This window comes from Homo sapiens, chromosome 7 (assembly GCF_000001405.40).
Source record: "Homo sapiens chromosome 7, GRCh38.p14 Primary Assembly".
NCBI classification, from domain to species: Eukaryota; Metazoa; Chordata; class Mammalia; order Primates; family Hominidae; genus Homo; species Homo sapiens.
The window spans coordinates 2,407,874-2,425,073 of NC_000007.14; the positions used below are offsets into that span (position 1 = coordinate 2,407,874).

General features: G+C 47.1%; 1 protein-coding gene across 15 annotated transcripts in view, besides 2 other annotated features; it reads left to right on the top strand.

Annotated features, from left to right (window-relative positions):
• The window catches only part of CHST12 (carbohydrate sulfotransferase 12), a 45,037-nt gene that overhangs the window by 4,426 nt on the left and 23,411 nt on the right, over positions 1-17,200 (top strand). The gene's annotated exons all lie outside the window — the stretch shown is intronic.
• Positions 862-921: an enhancer, noted in NCBI's record as "active region_25531". NCBI's record gives its function as "activates an Ori minimal core promoter by ATAC-STARR-seq in GM12878 lymphoblastoid cells {active_cell/tissue: GM12878}" and the evidence as "EXISTENCE:reporter gene assay evidence [ECO:0000049][PMID:35858748]".
• Positions 932-1,051: an enhancer, noted in NCBI's record as "active region_25532". NCBI's record gives its function as "activates an Ori minimal core promoter by ATAC-STARR-seq in GM12878 lymphoblastoid cells {active_cell/tissue: GM12878}" and the evidence as "EXISTENCE:reporter gene assay evidence [ECO:0000049][PMID:35858748]".

Consider the following 17,200-nt stretch of genomic DNA (forward strand, 5'->3'; position numbering starts at 1 on the left):
GCCCAGATCGTGCCACTGCACTCCAGCCTGGGCAATAGAATGAGACTCCGTCTCAAAAATAAAATTTAAAAAATTAAAAGTCTGGGCAGCAAACTTGGATAGTGAGAGAGGCTGAGTTTCAGATAAAGACTAGTGAGAGCTTGGGAGGGGAAGGATTTATTTGAAAGCATGTCTGCAGCTGTTGACCCCAGAATTTGGATAGTGAGAGTTCAGAGGCCAGGCGCTGTGGCTCACGCCTGTAATCCCAGCACTTTGGGTGGCCGAGGTGGACGGATCACTTGAGGCCAGGAGTTTGAGACCAGCCTGGCCAACATAGTGAAACCCTGGCTAATACAAAAATTAGCCAGGTATGGTGGCAGGTGCCTGTAATCCCAGCTGCCCAGGAGGCTGAGACAGGAGAATTGCTTGAACCTGGGAGGCGGAGGTAACGGTAAGTGGAGATCATGCCATTGCACTCCAGCCCGGGCAACAAGGGTGAGACTCCGTCTCAAAAAAAAAAAAAAAAAAAAAAAAAAAAGATCCTTGCGTACCCTCTCCAGGACATACTGTTGTGAAATCTCAGAACAAGAGGAGAAAGTAAAAACAAATCACAAATAGGTCATCACAGGTCAAGAGGCAGAAGGTTAGAACATGTGGAAAAAGGCAGAAGAACTAACTACAATTAAAATGAAAAGAAGCAGAAGGGCTTGGGCTTTTTCAAAGCAGCACTGGGTGGCAGGAGACGGGAGGGCCTTGCTTGAGAAATTCTGAAGGATGCATTTGCAGCCTGGAAGTCTACACTCAGGCAAGGGAGGGTAGGGTAAAGACAACTTCAGACTTGCTCCCAGATTTGTTCCTCATGCTTTAAGGAGGTGATTGGCAGATGTAGTCTCCCCAGATGAGGCAGTAAGTCTAGACTGAGAGAGACTGGCTGGTGGGAACAGGATTTCCCCCAGGTGAGAGGTGAGAAGAACCTGCTGAAGGGAAATCCCAGCCAGGTGCTGGTGTGAAGAGCAGACATGTCCTGACCCCAGCTGGTCAGAGGCTCCAAGAGGAGATTCTTTGGGAGAAGATGAAATTAGCAGGACACCTGACATGCTGCAGCATCTGGAGAGGAGTTGATACAGTTGGCAGAGTTGGGGCGGGATTAGTGATAAGTACTAAACAAAGCAAATGAAAACACAAGGCTGTTATTAGTTCCAGGGAAAATAAACCATCGTGCGGGAAACGAAAAATAATTATGGTGTACTACAAGGCGCAGCTGTGGATAGCCTCGCCGCAATGATAGTAATTTATGTAAACACTGACTGCTGCTCTAATTGAAATTATGATGCACCTGGGCAGAGAAGGTGTGGGGAGGAGAGCGCTGCATTTTCGCCTGTCGCCTTGGGAAGTCAGTCGCTAATGCCCCAAGCTGAACAACCAAGGTTCACTCTGAAGGCAGACATTAAAAGAATTAGCTAAAAAGAATTATGGAGCGGGTAGGGCGTGGTGGTTCGCACCTGTAATCCCAGCACTTCAGGAGGCCGAGGCAGGAGGATTGCTTGAGTCCAGGAGTTCAAGACCAGCCTGGGCAACATGGCGAAACCCTGTCTCTACTGAAAATACAAAAATTAGCCAGACATGGTGGCCTGTGTCTGTCTCAGCTCCTTGGGAGGCTGAGGTGGGAGGATCACTTCACTTGAGCCCAGGAGGTGGAGATTTTAGTGAGCTGAGATCGAGCCATCACACTCCACTCTAGCCTGGGTGACAGAGCAAGATCCTGTCTCAAAGAAAAAAAAAAAAAAAGAATCATGGAGAAGGGCGGAGGTGAGAAAGGGAAGCAGGGACAGAGACTGTTGAGTTTCTTAATAAACTTCACCTCACGGAATGATTTCACTCTTTCATGGATATGTATGTGTGGCATTGAATTGACCCAAATGGGAACAGTCTCAGATGGGCTTTCTGCTCTGATGGAATGGCGGCCCTCGCCTGCCTCTGTGCACAGGCCCTGTTAACAGGGAGGGTTTCCTTGCTCTGATTTCCTCTTGGTTATTGTCATTGTTCTCTGTATGCTGTCTCGTCGTTGTGGTCATTTATCAGAGATTCTGAGCACTTTTTTTTTTTTTCCTTTCAGGCAGAGTCTCACTCTGTCACTCAGGCTGGAGTGCAGTGATATGATCTCATTGCAGCCTCTGTTTCCTGAGTTCAAGCAATTATGATTACAGGCCTGAGCCGCCACGCCCGGCCGAGCGCTTTCTTTCGTCGTTTTCCAAGGGGGTTTTAAAACATACCGACCAGTAGAGAGAGCAGTATTATACATCATCCTTCACCTGTCCCCAAGTTTCAGAAATTAGGCAATCAGAGTTTGTCTGGTTTTTGTTAGAACATCACCTCTTTCTTGAGCAAGTACTGAGTGCCAGATGCTACTGTAAGCCTTGAGAATACCCGCTGTGAGGCAGGACGAGGACCTCCCTTTTAAGTCAGTGCAGGAAGACAGTGAGTGGATTAACTGGTGTATATGAGCTATTTGAGGCCAGGCATGGTGGCTCACGCCTGTAATCCTGACATTTTGGGAGGCTGAGGCAGGAGGATGGCTTGAGCCCAGCAGTTCAGGGATTCTGCGATTGCACCACTGCACTCCAGCCTGGGTGACACAGTGAGACACTACTCTAAAAATAATAAATAAAAGATTTGAGGTAGGGATGGGATAAATGCTGCTATGAAGAAAACCAGGGTATGGGGAGTGCAGGGTAGAGACTGGGATCTACTTTCTCAGGGTGGTTAGGGAAGGCTTGCTGAGGAGGTGAGCGTCAAGCAGAGATCTGAAGGAAGCGTGGGACTGCCCTGGGATTCCCCAGCTGAGGGATGGTGGTGCAGAGGCCCAGCAGCAGGAGCCTGCTGGGTGCGGTGGATGAACGGCAAGGAGACTGTTGAGGCTGGAGAGGGTCGCCGAGGGGGACTGTGATAGAAGAGGAGATCAGTGGAGTCCTGGTCACGGGCCATCAGAAGGACTCGAGATAGGAAGCCACTGATCCAACTTTTAATAGAATAACCGTGGCTTTGGGGTTGAAAATGGATTGTGTGGGCCTGAGAGCAGAAGCAGGGAGACTGGTTTGGAGCCTGTTGCAATAACGCAGGTGAGAGCTGATGGTGATTGGGGCAGGGTGGGGTGTAGGTAGGGCAGAGGGGACTTGACAAGTTAGAGCCTGGATAACTATTTACTTTTTTAAATTATTTATTTATTTATTTTTAAATTTTGAGATGAGATCTCACTCTGTCATCCAGGCTGGAGGGCTGGAGTACAGTGGTGTGATCATAGTTCACTGCAGCCTCAGCCTCCTGGGCTTAAGAGATCCTCCCACCTCAGCCTCCTGAGTAGCTGGGACTACAGGTGTATACTACCATACCTGGCTAATTTTTAAATTTTTGTACAGATGGCTTCTTGGTATGTTGCGCAAGCTGATCTTGAACTCCTGGTCTCAAAATATTATCCTGCCTTGGCCACCTAAAGTGTTGGGATTACAGGCATCAGCCACTGCACCTGGCTGAGCCTGGATATATTTTGCATGTAAAGCCCCAAGCAGGTTCTTAAACTGATCATAGTGAGATTTATTATCATTTTCTTCTGAAATAATTTCTTTGAGTTAACTTAACTCTTTTTTTTTTTTTTTTTTGAGACGGAGTCTCACTGTTGGCCAGGCTGGAGTGCAGTGGGGCAATCTTGACTCACTGCAACCTCCACCTCCTGGGTTCAAGCAATTGTCTCTGCCTCAGCCTCTCAAGTAGCTGGGATGATAGGTGCCAGCCACCACACCCAGCTACTTTTTGTATTTAGTAGAGACAGGGTTTTGCCATGTTGGCCAGGCTGGTCTCCTGACCTCAGGTGATCCACCCAGCTTGGCTTCCCAAAGTGCTGGGATTACAGGCGTGAGCCACTGTGCCCAGCCACGAATTGATTTAACTCTTAAGTCAGTTGAGTCAAGTGAGTTATCGTTTGGATTCTAGAGTCAAATACCTATGCAACAAATATTTGAGCCTTATGAGGAATACAGAAGGTACATGAGATATGATCCCTGTCTTCTAAGAACTTGAAACCCAGTTTGGGAATATTGGACTGGTATACGTGCGTGGATTTCCTGTCTACCTGGGAAGGGCCAACAGAGGGCTTAGAGACGGGAAGGAAGAGAACAGGGTGAGCTGATAGCCTCTGTGCTCTAGGACCGGCTCTGCAGGGAAGTTACTTTACTTCAAAGGCTAAGTTTGGGCTCAGTTTTCATTCAGGTCTCCTGGGATATAAATCAACATTCCATTCTCATCAATGTGACCGTTAATTACATATTTTTATTTGGATATACTGTCAGATATAGTTAACTGAACACAAATGAAGTAATTGTATAAGCAAATAAACCATAGTCCTGGAGGTACCGCGTGAAAATGTGTCTCACGATGGAGGTTTTAATGTAGTACCACTGTGTGTAAGTTCCAGGCAGCCCAGGACATGCAGAGAGCAAATATTGACACCAGGAACAGAAACTTTCCACATTTTTGTTGACTACAGCGATGGGAACTGCAGTGAATTATTTGCCTTATATAGTGTCTGTAAAGCTGGAAAAGAAGTAGGTAGTTTCTGGTCTTTGTGTCAGTAGCATAAATAAATAAACTTGAAACATTCTTGCGCTTCTTATTGAAGGTCATGTCACTTGATTTAGTGCTCAAGAGCTTGGTTATTTGGACACGAAGAAGCTACTTCCCTCAGCAGTAAAGGAAATAGAAATTTGACTGTCTAGTGAAACCTACCAATTCTGCCTAAACATATACTGTAGAGGCCAGCAGAGCAGAGTGGCAAGGAAGGGGGGCTCTCCAACAACAGCCTGAGTTCTGAGGCCAGCTCTAAACACTGCTAGCTATGTAGACTTGTGCAAGTCTGTAGCTACTTTTCCCAGTTTCATCCCAGTTCATGTGAGGATTAAACAAAGTAATATGTGCAAAGCCCTTAGAACATCACTTTTAACAACATGTTAGCTATTGGTATTGTTATTTTAAAATCAATTTGCAAATAGACAGTTTTTTTTTTTTTGACTTGATAACTGGCTCTTGGTAGAAAGCATGAGTAATAATAAAAATAACACATATTTGTGTAACAAATATTTGAGCCTGATGAAGACAGAGAGATAAGTAAGGCCGGGGCAGATTCTAAAGAAAGTGCTTTACTATTTTATCAACCACTTAGCTGTGTTTTCTCATTTTTGTGCTCTCGGTAGCTCTGGTTAGCAGAAAGGCCTAGTTTGTTCTTCTTTTGTAGATGGACTGAAAGTCAGACATAAAATGACTTGGCCCAGGCCACTCAGCAGAGGCCGGACTTGGTCTCAGTATCCCTTCCCTCTTCCTCCCAGTCCCTCCGTGTCTGTGCGGAACTCTGCACTGGTGTTTTCTTCTGTACTGTGGAAATTGGTGAGAGCTGGGCCATTGCATTCATATTAGAGAGAGAAGTGTTAGCCTCTGGAGATCAGCTTCATAAAACCACAAACATTTTCTTTTTAACTTTAAATCAAATGTATTGAGTATGATTTACATGCAATAAAACGTACCCATTTTAAGTATGCAGTTTGAGGAACGTGGCCAAACATATTCACCTTGTACCTGCCTCTGCAATCAAACAGTAGAGCATTTCCATCGCCCCGAGTTTCTGCGTGCTCCTCTGCAGTCTATGATTTTCATCACGATTTTGGCCTCTTTTAAATGTCATATAAATGGAACCACAGAACATGCAGTCTTTTACGTCTGGCTCCTTTTTCAGTGTGCGACCTGTGGCGTTCACCCATGAATCAGCACTTCACCCTTTTTACACTCACTTGCTGATGTACATTGGGGTTGTTTTCAGGTTTTAGCTTTTTTTTTTTTTTTTTTTTTTTGAGACAGAGTCTCCCTCTGTCGCCCAGGCTGGAGTGCAGTGGCGTGATCTTGGCTCACTGCAACCTCTGCCTCCTGGGTTCAAGTGATTCTCCTGCCTCAGCCTCCCGAGTAGCTGGGATCACAGGCACCCACCACCACACCCAGCTAATTTTTGTATTTTTAGTAGAGATGGGGTTTCACCATGTTGGCCAGGCTGGTCTTGAACTTCTGACCTCAGGTGATCCACCCACCTCGGCCTCCCAAAGTGCTGGGATTACGGGCATGAGCCACCACGCCCGGCCAGTTATCTCATTTTAATTTGCATTTCTTTGATGACTAATGATGATGAGCACTTTCCTATGTGCTTTCTGACTATTTGTATCTCTTCTTTTGTGAAACGTCTGTTCAAATTTTTTGCTTATTTTTTAATTGGGTTTATTTTCCGTTGTAAGAGCTCTTTATATATTCTGGATATAGGCACTTTGTTAGATATACATATTGAGAATATTTTCTCCCGGCCTATGGCCTGTCTTTTACTTTCTTTTTTTATTTTTCTTTTTCTTTTTTTTTCTCTGAGACAGAGTTTTGGTCTTGTCACCCAGGCTGGAGCGCAATGGTGTGATCTTGGCTCACTGCAACCTCCACCTCTTGGGTTCAAGCGATTCTCTTGCCTCAGCCTCCTGAGTAGCTGGAATTACAGGCACTTGCCCCCATGCCCGGCTAATTTTTTGTAATTTTAGTGGAGATGGGGTTTCGCCATGTTGGACAGGCTGGTCTTGAACTCCTTACCTCAGGTGATCCACCCTTCTCGGCCTCCCAAAGTGCTGGGATTACAGGTGTGAGCCACCGTGCCCAGCCTTTACTTTCTTTAATGGTAAAATTTGAGAATCCTAAGTTTTAAATTTTGATAAAGTCCAATTTACCACATTTTTCTCTCATATTTGTGCTTTTGGTATCCCAACAAATCTTTGCCTTCTCCCAAGTCATGGAGATTTTTTCCTGTTTTCCTCTGAATATTTTAGTTTTAGTGTTTATGTGTAAGGCCATGATCCATTGTGAGTTAATTTCTGTGTGAGGCGTAGGGTTGAGGTTCATTCTTTTTCATGCAGATATCCAGTTGTTTCAGCACCATTTGTTGAAAAGATTGTTATTCCTTATTGAATTACTTTGCCACCTTTTGAAAACAGCCACATACATGTGGATCTCTTTTGGGACTTTGTGCTGTCTCATTTATCTCTACAGGCATACTTCAGAGATGTTGCAGGTTCAGTTCTGGACCACCACAATCAAGTGAATATCGCAATAAAGAGAGTCAACAAAGTTTTTGCGTTTCCCAGTGCATATAAAAGTTATATTTGGCCAGGTGTGGTGGCTCACGCCTCAGTCCCTGCACTTTGGGAGGCCAAGGCGGGTGGATCACCTGAGGTCAGGAGTTCAAGACCAGCCTGGCCAACATGATGAAACCCCATCTCTACTAAAAATACAAAAAATTAGCCAGATGTGGTGGTGGGCGCCTGTAATCCTGGCTACTCAGGAGGCTAAGGCAGGAGGATCACCTGAACCCCAGAGTAGAGGTTGCAGTGAGCCGAGATTGTGCCACTGCACTCCAGCCTGGATGACAACAGCGAAACTCTGCCTCAAAAAAAAAAAAAAGTTTTATGTTTACACTATACTGTAGTCTATTAAGTGTGCAATAGCATTATGTCTAAGAAACAATGTACATACGTTAATTTAAAAATATTGCTAAAAAATGCTAACAATTATCTGAGCCTTCAGCGAGTGGCAATCTTTTTGCTGGTGGAGGGTCTTGTCTTGATGTTGATAGCTGCTGATTGATCAGGGCGGTGGTTGCTGAAGGCTGGAGTGGCTATGGCAATTTCTTTTCTTTTTTCTTTTTTTTTTTTTTGAGGCAGAGTCGCTCTGTCGCCCAGGCTGGAGTGCAGTGGCACGATCTTGGCTCACTGCAAGCTCCGCCTCCCGGGTTCACGCCATTCTCCTGCCTCAGCCTCCTGAGTAGCTGGGACTACAGGCGCCCGCCACCACGCCTGGCTAATTTTTTTTGTATTTTTAGTAGAGACGGGGTTTTACCGTGTTAGCCAGGATGGTCTCGATCTCCTGACCTTGTGATCCGCGCACCTCAGCCTCCCAAAGTGCTGGGATTACAAGCGTGAGCCACCGCGCCTGGCTGGCAATTTCTTAAGACAACAATGAAGTGTGCTGCATTTATTGACTCTTACTTTTACAAAAGGTTTTCCTGTAGCACGTGATGCTGTTTGATAACATTTTACTTATAGTAGAACATCTTTTAAAATTGTAGTCAATCTTCTCAAACCTTGCCACTGCATTATCATGTAAGTCTATGGAATATTCTAAATCTTTTCTGGTCATCTCAGCAGCGTTCATAGCATCTTTACCCAGAGTAGATTCCTCCTCAAGAAACTGCTCTTTCGTTCCTTCGTAAGAAGCAACTCTTCATCTGTTCAGCTTTGAACATGAGATTGCAATTATTTGGCCACATCTTCAGGCTCCACTTCTGATTCTACTTCTCTTGCTGTTTCCACCACATCTGCTGTTACTTCCTGCACCGGAGTCTTGAACTCCTCAGAGTCATCCATGAGGACTGGAACCAACCTCTTCAAACTTCTATTAATGTTGCTATTTTGATCTCTTCCTGTGAATCCCGAATGTTCTTAAAGGCATTAGAATGGTGAATCCTTTCCAGGTTTTCAGTTTACTTTGCCCAGATCCTACAGAGGAATCACTATGGCAGCTTTAGCCTTACAAAATGTATTCCTTTAATAATAAGACCTAAAAGTCAAAATTACTGCTTGATCCATGGGCTGCAGAATGGATGTTGTGTTAGCAGGCATGGAAACAGAAACAGATCTCAGTCGATTTAGAGGTGTATTTTGCCAAGGTTAAGAAAGAAACACAAGTCATTGTAGGATCTGTGGCCTGTGTGCTTTTTCTAAAGAGGGTTTTGGAAACTTCAGTATTTAAAGAGGAAAAAGTAGGCAGGAGGGGAAGAGGGGAAGAAAAGGAGGTGGAGTAGGCAATGAGGCCAGTGGTCACATTTTTGTGAGGCTTTTAGTACCATTCAGTGAATCTACATTTTACATGTGAAAAGAAGGGAGTGGGGCAGAGTCACATACGCCTTCTCCGCACAGTAAATCTGCATTTTACCTGCGATAAATAAGCACGTAAATTACTTTATCTGGGAAAGAAAAGAAGGCAGCTTTTCTTTTGCGTAACTTGGTTGTTAAGCTTAACTTTCCCTTTAGCTTGGTGAATTCGGGGTCCTGAGATTTTATTTTTCTTTTGCAATGTGTATACAAAGAGATTGATGATAAGAAATTGGCTCACACAATTACGGAGGCTGAGAAATTCAGACCCTGGAGAGCCAATGGTATGACTCCAGTCTGAGACGGAGTCCAAAGACGAAGACCAATGTCCCAGCTCAAAGACAGGCAGGCAGAGAGAGTTGATTCTCTTACTCTACCTTTTTTTTTTTTTTTTGAGGCAGAGTCTTGCTCTGTTGGCCAGGCTAGAGTGCAGTGGCGTGATCTCAGCTCACTGCAACCTCTGCTTCCTGGGTTCAAGCAATTCTCCTGCCTCAGCCTCCTGAGTAGCTGGGTTACAGGTGTGCGCCACCATGTCTGACTTTTTTTTTTTTTTTTTTTTGTGATGGAGTCTCACAGTGTTGCCCAGGCTGGAGTACAGTGGTGTGATCTTAGCTCACTGCAACCTCCGCCTCCCAGGTTCAAACTATTCTCCTGCCTCAACCTCCCATGTAGCTGGAATTACAGGCATGTGCCACCAGGCCTGACTAATTTTTGTATTTTTAGTAGAGACAGGGTTTTACCATGTTGGCCAGGCTAGTCTCGAACTCCTGACCTCAACTGATCCGCCTGCCTTGGCCTCCCAAAGTGCTGTGATTATAGGCATGAGCCACCACACCTGGCCTTACTCCACTTTTCTGTTGTACTTGGGCCTTCAGTGGACTGGCTGAGGCCCTCTCATACTGGGAGGGCATCCGATATCTCAGTTCACCCATTTGGATGTTACTCTCCTCCAGAAACATGCTCACAGACGCAGTCAGAGTATGCTTAACCAAATATCTGGGTACCCCACGGCCCAGTCCAGTTGACACATAAAATTAGCCACGTATTACGTGACCTTTTTGTGTGATCGATGTCAGTTCTGCTGTAACAATGTGGAAAATGCGCTTCTGGGGGGCTTAATATAGATCTGGCCATGTGGCAGTGTCTTCCAGAGCAGGATGGCTGTGGTCACGTCACGGTGACACACAGCTGAACACGAGTGAGCTAAGGCCATAGCTGTCTGTGCTAGCTGCCTTTTCTTTCTCTAGTGTTTTGCCCACAGTCAGCATGAGTATTTGGACCAGTGGCCTTGCGTGGGCAGCCGGCATGGACTTGCTCCCTGGGGCTGCAGAGTCTGCCCCTGGCTTCATGCCCTGCATGTTGTGTGTGAGCAAAGAAATATTTAACAGCCCCACCCGGAGCTAAGACACAACTCTGTCAGCCTAACCACAGTGTTTGCGTTTAAACCTAACCTAATAATTTTCAGTGCCATTTATGAGGGCATCTGACACAGCCGCCGTGGAAAAGCACCTCCACCGCTACAGTTTCCTGGCGGATGATGCTTCTAGGTGAAACTTTGCTCTGTGGGTTCCCTTGCTGGAGGCAGCAGCCCACGGTTGGTGTGCCGCAGGCGGGTTATACGTCTGTTCATCTGAGATGCCTCTGCGTGCTCTGCTTCAAATCACAGGGGGCTTTTTGTTGAAACACTGGGAGATTTGCATTTGGAAATCATGTCCTATTTCTTTTTAATGAAAAATTACTTTATGGCTTCAGTGTTGCCCATGATGTGTTTTGGAAGCAGGTGGGATCATGACCGCAGTGCTCAGCCCAGCGGTTCTATCGGACCCTTCCCTGAATGCTTCTCTCCTGCCCAGAAGGTAGCAAAAGTCACGTGGGCTTCAGGCCGGAGCTGTGTCAGTCACTGGGCCAGACATTCTTGTATGTCCAAGCTGTTGTTTCTGTTGCTGTTGTTGTTGTTTTGTTTTTTGGGATGTGGTCTCACCCTGTCACCCAGGCTGGAGTACAACGGCACAATCATAGCTTACTGCAGCCTTGACCTCCTGGGTTCAAGCCATTTTCCCACTTCAGCCTCCAGAGTAACTGGGACCACAGGTGTGTGCCATCATGCCCAGCTAATTTTAAAAATTATTTGTAGACATGAGGTCTCACTGTGTGGACCAGGCTGGTCTTGAACCCCTTGGCTCAAGCAATCCCCCTGCCTTGGCTTCCCAAATTGCTGGGATCACAGGCATGAACCACCATGTCTGGCTGTCCAAACCGCCTTTTAAAATTAAAACTTGGCTGGGCGTGGTGGCTCATGCCTGTATTCCCATCACTTTGGGAGGCCGAGGCAGGTAGATCACTTGAGCCCAGGAGTTCAAGACCATCCTGGTCAACATGGTGAAACCCCATCTCTACTAAAAATACAAAAATTAGCCAGGCGTGGTGGTGCACACCTGTAACCCAGCTACTCAGGAGGCTGAGGTGGGAGGATCACTTGAGTGGGGAGGTTGCAGTGAGCCAAGATCACGCCACTGCACTCAAGTCTGAATGATAGAGTGGAACCCTGTCTCCAAAAAAAAAAAAAAAAAAAAAATGGCTGGGCATAGTGGCTTACGCCTGTAATCCCAGCACTTTGAGAGGCCAAGGCAGGTGGATTCCCTGAGGTCAGGAGTCCGAGACCAGCCTGGCCAACATGGTGAAGCCCCGTCTCTACTAAAAATACAAAAATTAGCCAGGCATGGTGGTGGGAGCCTGTAATCCCAGCTACTTAGGAGGCTGAGGCAGGAGAATCGCTTGAACCCGGGAAGCAGAGGTTGCAGTGAGCTGAGATTGTGCAACTGCACTCAAGCCTAGGCAACAAGAGCAAAACTCCGTCTCAAAAAAAAAAAAAAAAAATTACCATTGTAACCATTTTTAAGCATGCAGTTTGGTGGTGTTAAGCACGTTCACATCACTCTGCAGCAATCACCACCCTCCAGCCCCAGAACTATGTTCATCTTGTAAAACTAAAGCTCTGTCCCCATTGAACACAAACTCCCATCCCCCTCCCCTGCCCCCACAACCACCATTCTACTTTCTGTCTCTAGGAATTTAACTGCCCTGGGAACCTCATACAAGTAGAATCTTGAAATATTTGTCTTTTTTTTTTTTTTTTTTTTTTTGAGATGGAGTCTCGCTCTGTTGCCCAGGCTGGAGTGCAGTGGCACGATCTCACCTCACTGTAAGCTCTGCCTCCCGGGTTCATGCCATTCTCCTGCCTCAGCCTCCAGAGTAGCTGAGACTACAGGCGCCCGTCAGCATGCCCGGCTAATTTTTTGTATTTTTAGTAGAGACGGGGTTTCACCGTGTTAGCCAGGATGGTCTTGATCTCCTGACCTCGTGATCTGCCCGCCTCGGCTTCCCAAAGTGCTGGGATTACAGGTGTGAGCCGCCACACCGGCCAAGTATTTGTCCTTTTGTTTCTGGCTTATTTCACTGAGCATAATGTCTTCAGGGTTCATCCATGTTGTAGCATGTGTCAGAATTTCCTTTCTTTTGAAGGCTGAGTAATATTCTACTACATGGGTTGACCACAGTTTGCTTGTCTGTTCATCTGTCGCGAACACTTGGGTTCCTTCCACCTTTTGGCTATTGTGAATGATGCTGACATCAGTGTGGACATGGGTGTGCAAGCATCTCTTCAAGACCCTGCTCTAAGTTGAGTGCAGTGGCTCATGCCTGTCATCCCAGCACTTTGGGGGGCCAAGGTGGAAGGATCACTTGAGGCCAGGAATTCAAGACCACCCTGACAACATAGCAAGATGCCATCTCTACAAAAAATTAGCTGGGCATGGTGGCAACCACCTATAGTCTCAGCTACTCAGGAGGCTGCTTGAGCCCAGGAGTTCAAGGCTGCAGTGAGGTTTGATGGCACCACTGCACCCCAGCCTGGACAACACAGTGAGACCCTGTCTCAGGAAAAGAACAACAACCTTGCTTTCAGTTATTTTGGGTGTATACACAGAAGTGGAATTGCTGTATCATATGGCAATTTTATTTTATTATTATTTTTTAAGACGGAGTCTCACTGTGTCACCAAGTCTGGAATACAGTGGTACAATCTCAGCTCACTGCAACCTCTGCCTCCTGGGTTCAAGCAATTCTGCCTCAGCCTCCTTGAGTAGCTGGGATTACAGGCGTGAGTCACTGCACCTGGCCCCTCATATGGTAATTTTATATGATAATTCTGTGTTAATTTTTTTTTTTGAGACAGAGTCTCACTCTGTTCCCCAGGCTGGAGTGCAGTGGTGCCATCACAGCTCACTGCAACCTCCATCTCCTGGGCTCAAGCGATCCTCTTGCCTCAGCCTCCTGAGTAGCTGGGACTGTAAGTGCACACCACCATGTCCTGCTAATTCTTTTTTTTTTTTTTTTTTTTTTTACATTTTTTTTGTAGAGAAGGGTCTTGGTATGTTGCCCAGGCTGGGATGCAGTGGCAACATCATAGCTCACTGCAGCCTCAAACTCTTGGGCTCAAGCAATCCTCTCACCTCAGCCTCCTAAGTAGCTGAGACTACAGGCACACACTACCATGCCTGGCTAGTTTTTTAGTTTGGTTTTTTTTTTTACTTTTTTTTTTTTTTTTGAGACGGAGTCTCGCTCTGTTGCCCAGGCTAGAGTGCGGTGACGCGATCTTGGCTCACTGCAACTTCCACCTGCCAGGTTCAAATGGTCCTTCCATCTCAGCCTCTCAAGAAACTGGGATTACAAGTGTACACCACCATGCCAGGCTAATTTTTTTATTTTTAGTAGAGACAGGGTTTTGCCATGTTGGCCAGGCTGTCCTCAAACTCCTGAGCTCAAGTGATCTGCCCACCTCAGCCTCCCAAAGTGCCAGGATTACAGGCATGAGCTACTGCGCCCAGCCTTTTTAAACATTTTTTATAGAGATAGGGTCTTGCTATGTTGCCCAGGCTGGTCTTAAACTCCTGGGCAGTTCTCCCGCCTCAGCCTCCCAAAGTGCTGGGATTACAGGCATGAGCCACCATAGCTGGCCCTAAAAGATATTATTAATACTTAGTTATAATCCTAAAATATTTTCCTTGTAATTAAACTGAAATCTTATTAAATTATCCATGAAAAGTCATAGGTTTTATAAAATGATGTAGTCACTGGCATTGGTTGTATATATGTAATGCTTCTTGGCTGAAAAATAAGCAGAAGTGCTTAGGTTGGCTCAGTAACGCCCTTATCTAGTTCTTAGGTACAGAATTCGTGGACGGCGGCAGCATCCCTGGCCTCTGGCGTCTGCCTATGTCGGCGATGTGACTGACTCCCCTGCAGCTTCACTCTCCTCGTTAGTCTTCATCTTAATTGGCAACTTCCCTCTCAAGTTGTTTGTCATGTTAACTTTTCCCCTTTGCTACTTTCTTTTTCTTTCTTTTTTTTTTTTGAGAGGGAGTTTCCCTCTTGTGGCCCAGGCTGGAGTGCAGTGGCGCCATCTCGGCTCACTGCAACCTCCGCCTCCCAGGTTCAAGCGATTCTCCTGCCTCAGCCTCCCGAGTAGCTGGGATTACAGGCATGTGCCACCATGCCCGGCTTATTTTGTATTTTTAGTAGAGACAGGGTTTCTCCGTTATTGGTCAGGCTGGTCTCGAACTCCTGACCTCAGGTGATCCACCCGCCTCGGCCTCCCAAGGTTCTGGGATTACAGGCGTGAGCCACTGCGCCCTGCCTCTTTTTTTTTAGATGGAGTCTTGTTCCGTCACCAGGCTGGAGTGCAGTGGTGCGATCTCAGCTCACTGCAAACTGCGACTCCCGGGTTCAAGCGATTCTCCTGCCTCAGCCTCCCCAGTAGCTGGGACTACAGGCACACACCACCACACCCAGCTAATTTTTGTATTTTTAGTAGAGACAGGGTTTCACCGTGTTGGCCAGACTGGTCTCGATCTCTTGACTTTGTGATCCACCTGCCTCGGCTTCCCAAAGTGCTGGGATTACAGGAGAGAGCCACTGCGTGCAGCCCTGCTTTGCTGCTTTCTTAGCCTTCAGAAAACCTTTTTTTTTTTTTTTTTAGTGTGGTTTCATTCACTGTCATCTGAAGAAACTGTTGATTGTTACACATCCTCGAGAGGGGTGGTCCTGAAAACTTGAACAGCACAGGTACTTAGGATCTAGTTTTAAAAATAGGCTGCAGTGGCTCACGCCTGTCATTCCAGCACTTTGGGAGGCTGAGGCACTTGGATCACTCGAGGCCAGGAGTTAGAGACCAGCCTGGCCAACATGGAGAAAGCCCCTCTCTACTAAAAATCCAAAAATTAGCCGGGCATGGTGCGTGCCTGTGGTCCCAGCTATTTGGGAGGCTGAGGCATGAGAATCCCTTGAACCTGGGAGGTGGAGGCTGTGGTGAGCCAAGGTCACACCACTGTAGTCCCGCCTGGGTGACAGAACAAGACTCCATCTCAAAAAAAATAAAAAAAAGTAGAAAAATAGGCTGTAAAATCGTGTGGTTATAACCGTTCAGAGGGTATTGAAAGCTGGTACAGGACTGCATGTTCTCGTCCCACTCACACCCTGAACACACTGGGAGGGCAGGTGAGGAATGCGGTGGGGGCCATGGAGAGACAGCAGCGGGGGCCGTGGAGAGACAGCAGCAGGCCCTCTGATGCTCACGTTTTCGTGATTTCTGTAGTGGGGTCATTGCCTTTCTCTGGTTTGAGACACGTATTAGCTGTGCGTGATGCTGGTGCACTACAGGCCACAGGGCGGGAGGAGGTTGGAGTCCTCTGGGTGCTGGGCTTCTCTGCCTCCATCAGGCATGCTGAGCTCTGTGGGTCCAGGAAGCACTGAGTGAAGGTGGCAGTAGGCAGAGGGCATCCTTTTTTCTGAGAATCATCCCAGCTCCTTTCATGTGGAAGCCCACCACCCTCTGTACACTGAGCTTTTTACTGTGATTTACCTCATTACTCTTGCCATTGAAAAAATGAATTAAGAGGCCAGGCGTGGTGGCTCATGCCAGAAGCAGAGGCGGGTAAATCATTTGAGCCCAGGAGTTCGAGACCAGCCTGGGCAACATGGCAAGACCCTGTCTCTACCCAGAATACAAAAATTAGCTGGGCATGGTGGCACACGCCTATGGTCCCAGCTACTTGGGAAACTGAGGTGCCTGGGAGGTCGAGGCTGCAGTGAGCCGAGATTGCAGCACTGTTCTCCAGCCTGGGCAACAGCGCAAGACTGTATTTCAAAATTAATTGATTAATTAAGGCTGGGCACAATGGCTTATGCCTGTAATCCTGACACTTTGGAAGGCCATGGTGGGAGGATCACCTGATCCCAGGAGTTCAAGAGCAGCCTGGGCAACATAGGGAGATCCTGTCTCTACAGAATAATTTTAAAAATGAGCCAGGTATGGTGGTGTGCACCCATGGCCCCAGCTTTTTGGGACAACCCAGGAAGTTGAGGCTGCAGTGAGCCATGATCACACCACTTTACTCTAGTCTGGGCAACAGGGTGAGACCCTGACTCTAAAGAATATAAAGAAAGAACATGAATTAAGAATCCACAGAAGTTGCAGAGGTGGATGCAGAGTACAGCCACATTTCAGCCTCATGAACTTTGAGGTTCATTTAATGAGAATCTGTGAAGGGTCAGGCAGTGGCTTTTAGAGTCTAGTCCAGTGCGTGAGAGGCAGATAGACTCCGAGAAGCTTATGCCGGAAGAAGTCCAGGAGGGTCTCCCAGTGCGAGACTCTCCCCCGGAAGACTCCCGGGCAATCCGCCTGTTTGTGCTTGGATGCCCTCGGGAACAGAGATCTTACTACAGTTTTTGGCCCCTTAACTCATTAGCGTATCTGTTCATTCACTGGGCTGACTGTGCTGTCCGAGTGTTGTCTTCTGAAGCTGCAGAGGTCAAGCCTGCTCCCCCTCCTCTGTGACAGCCCTTCAGGAGTTTGAGGCACCAACAGAAATCCTCCTCGTCCTGAACAGCCCCAGCTCCCACAGAGCTCCCCTTCCACAAGATGCTGTGGGAAAAGAGACACTGAGAGCCTGCTAGAGCCTGTTGTAATCAGGGTGCCCCCGTGGAGGAGCAGGAGGAGGAGGCAAGACCCCGCTCCAGGCCGGGCGTGGTGGCTCACGCCTGTAATCCCAGCACTTTGGGAGGCCGAGGTGGGCAGATCACTTGAGGTCAGGAGTTCAAGACCAGCCTGGCCAACAGAGTGAAACTCCATCTCTACTAAAAATACAAAAATTAGCCAGGTGTGGTGG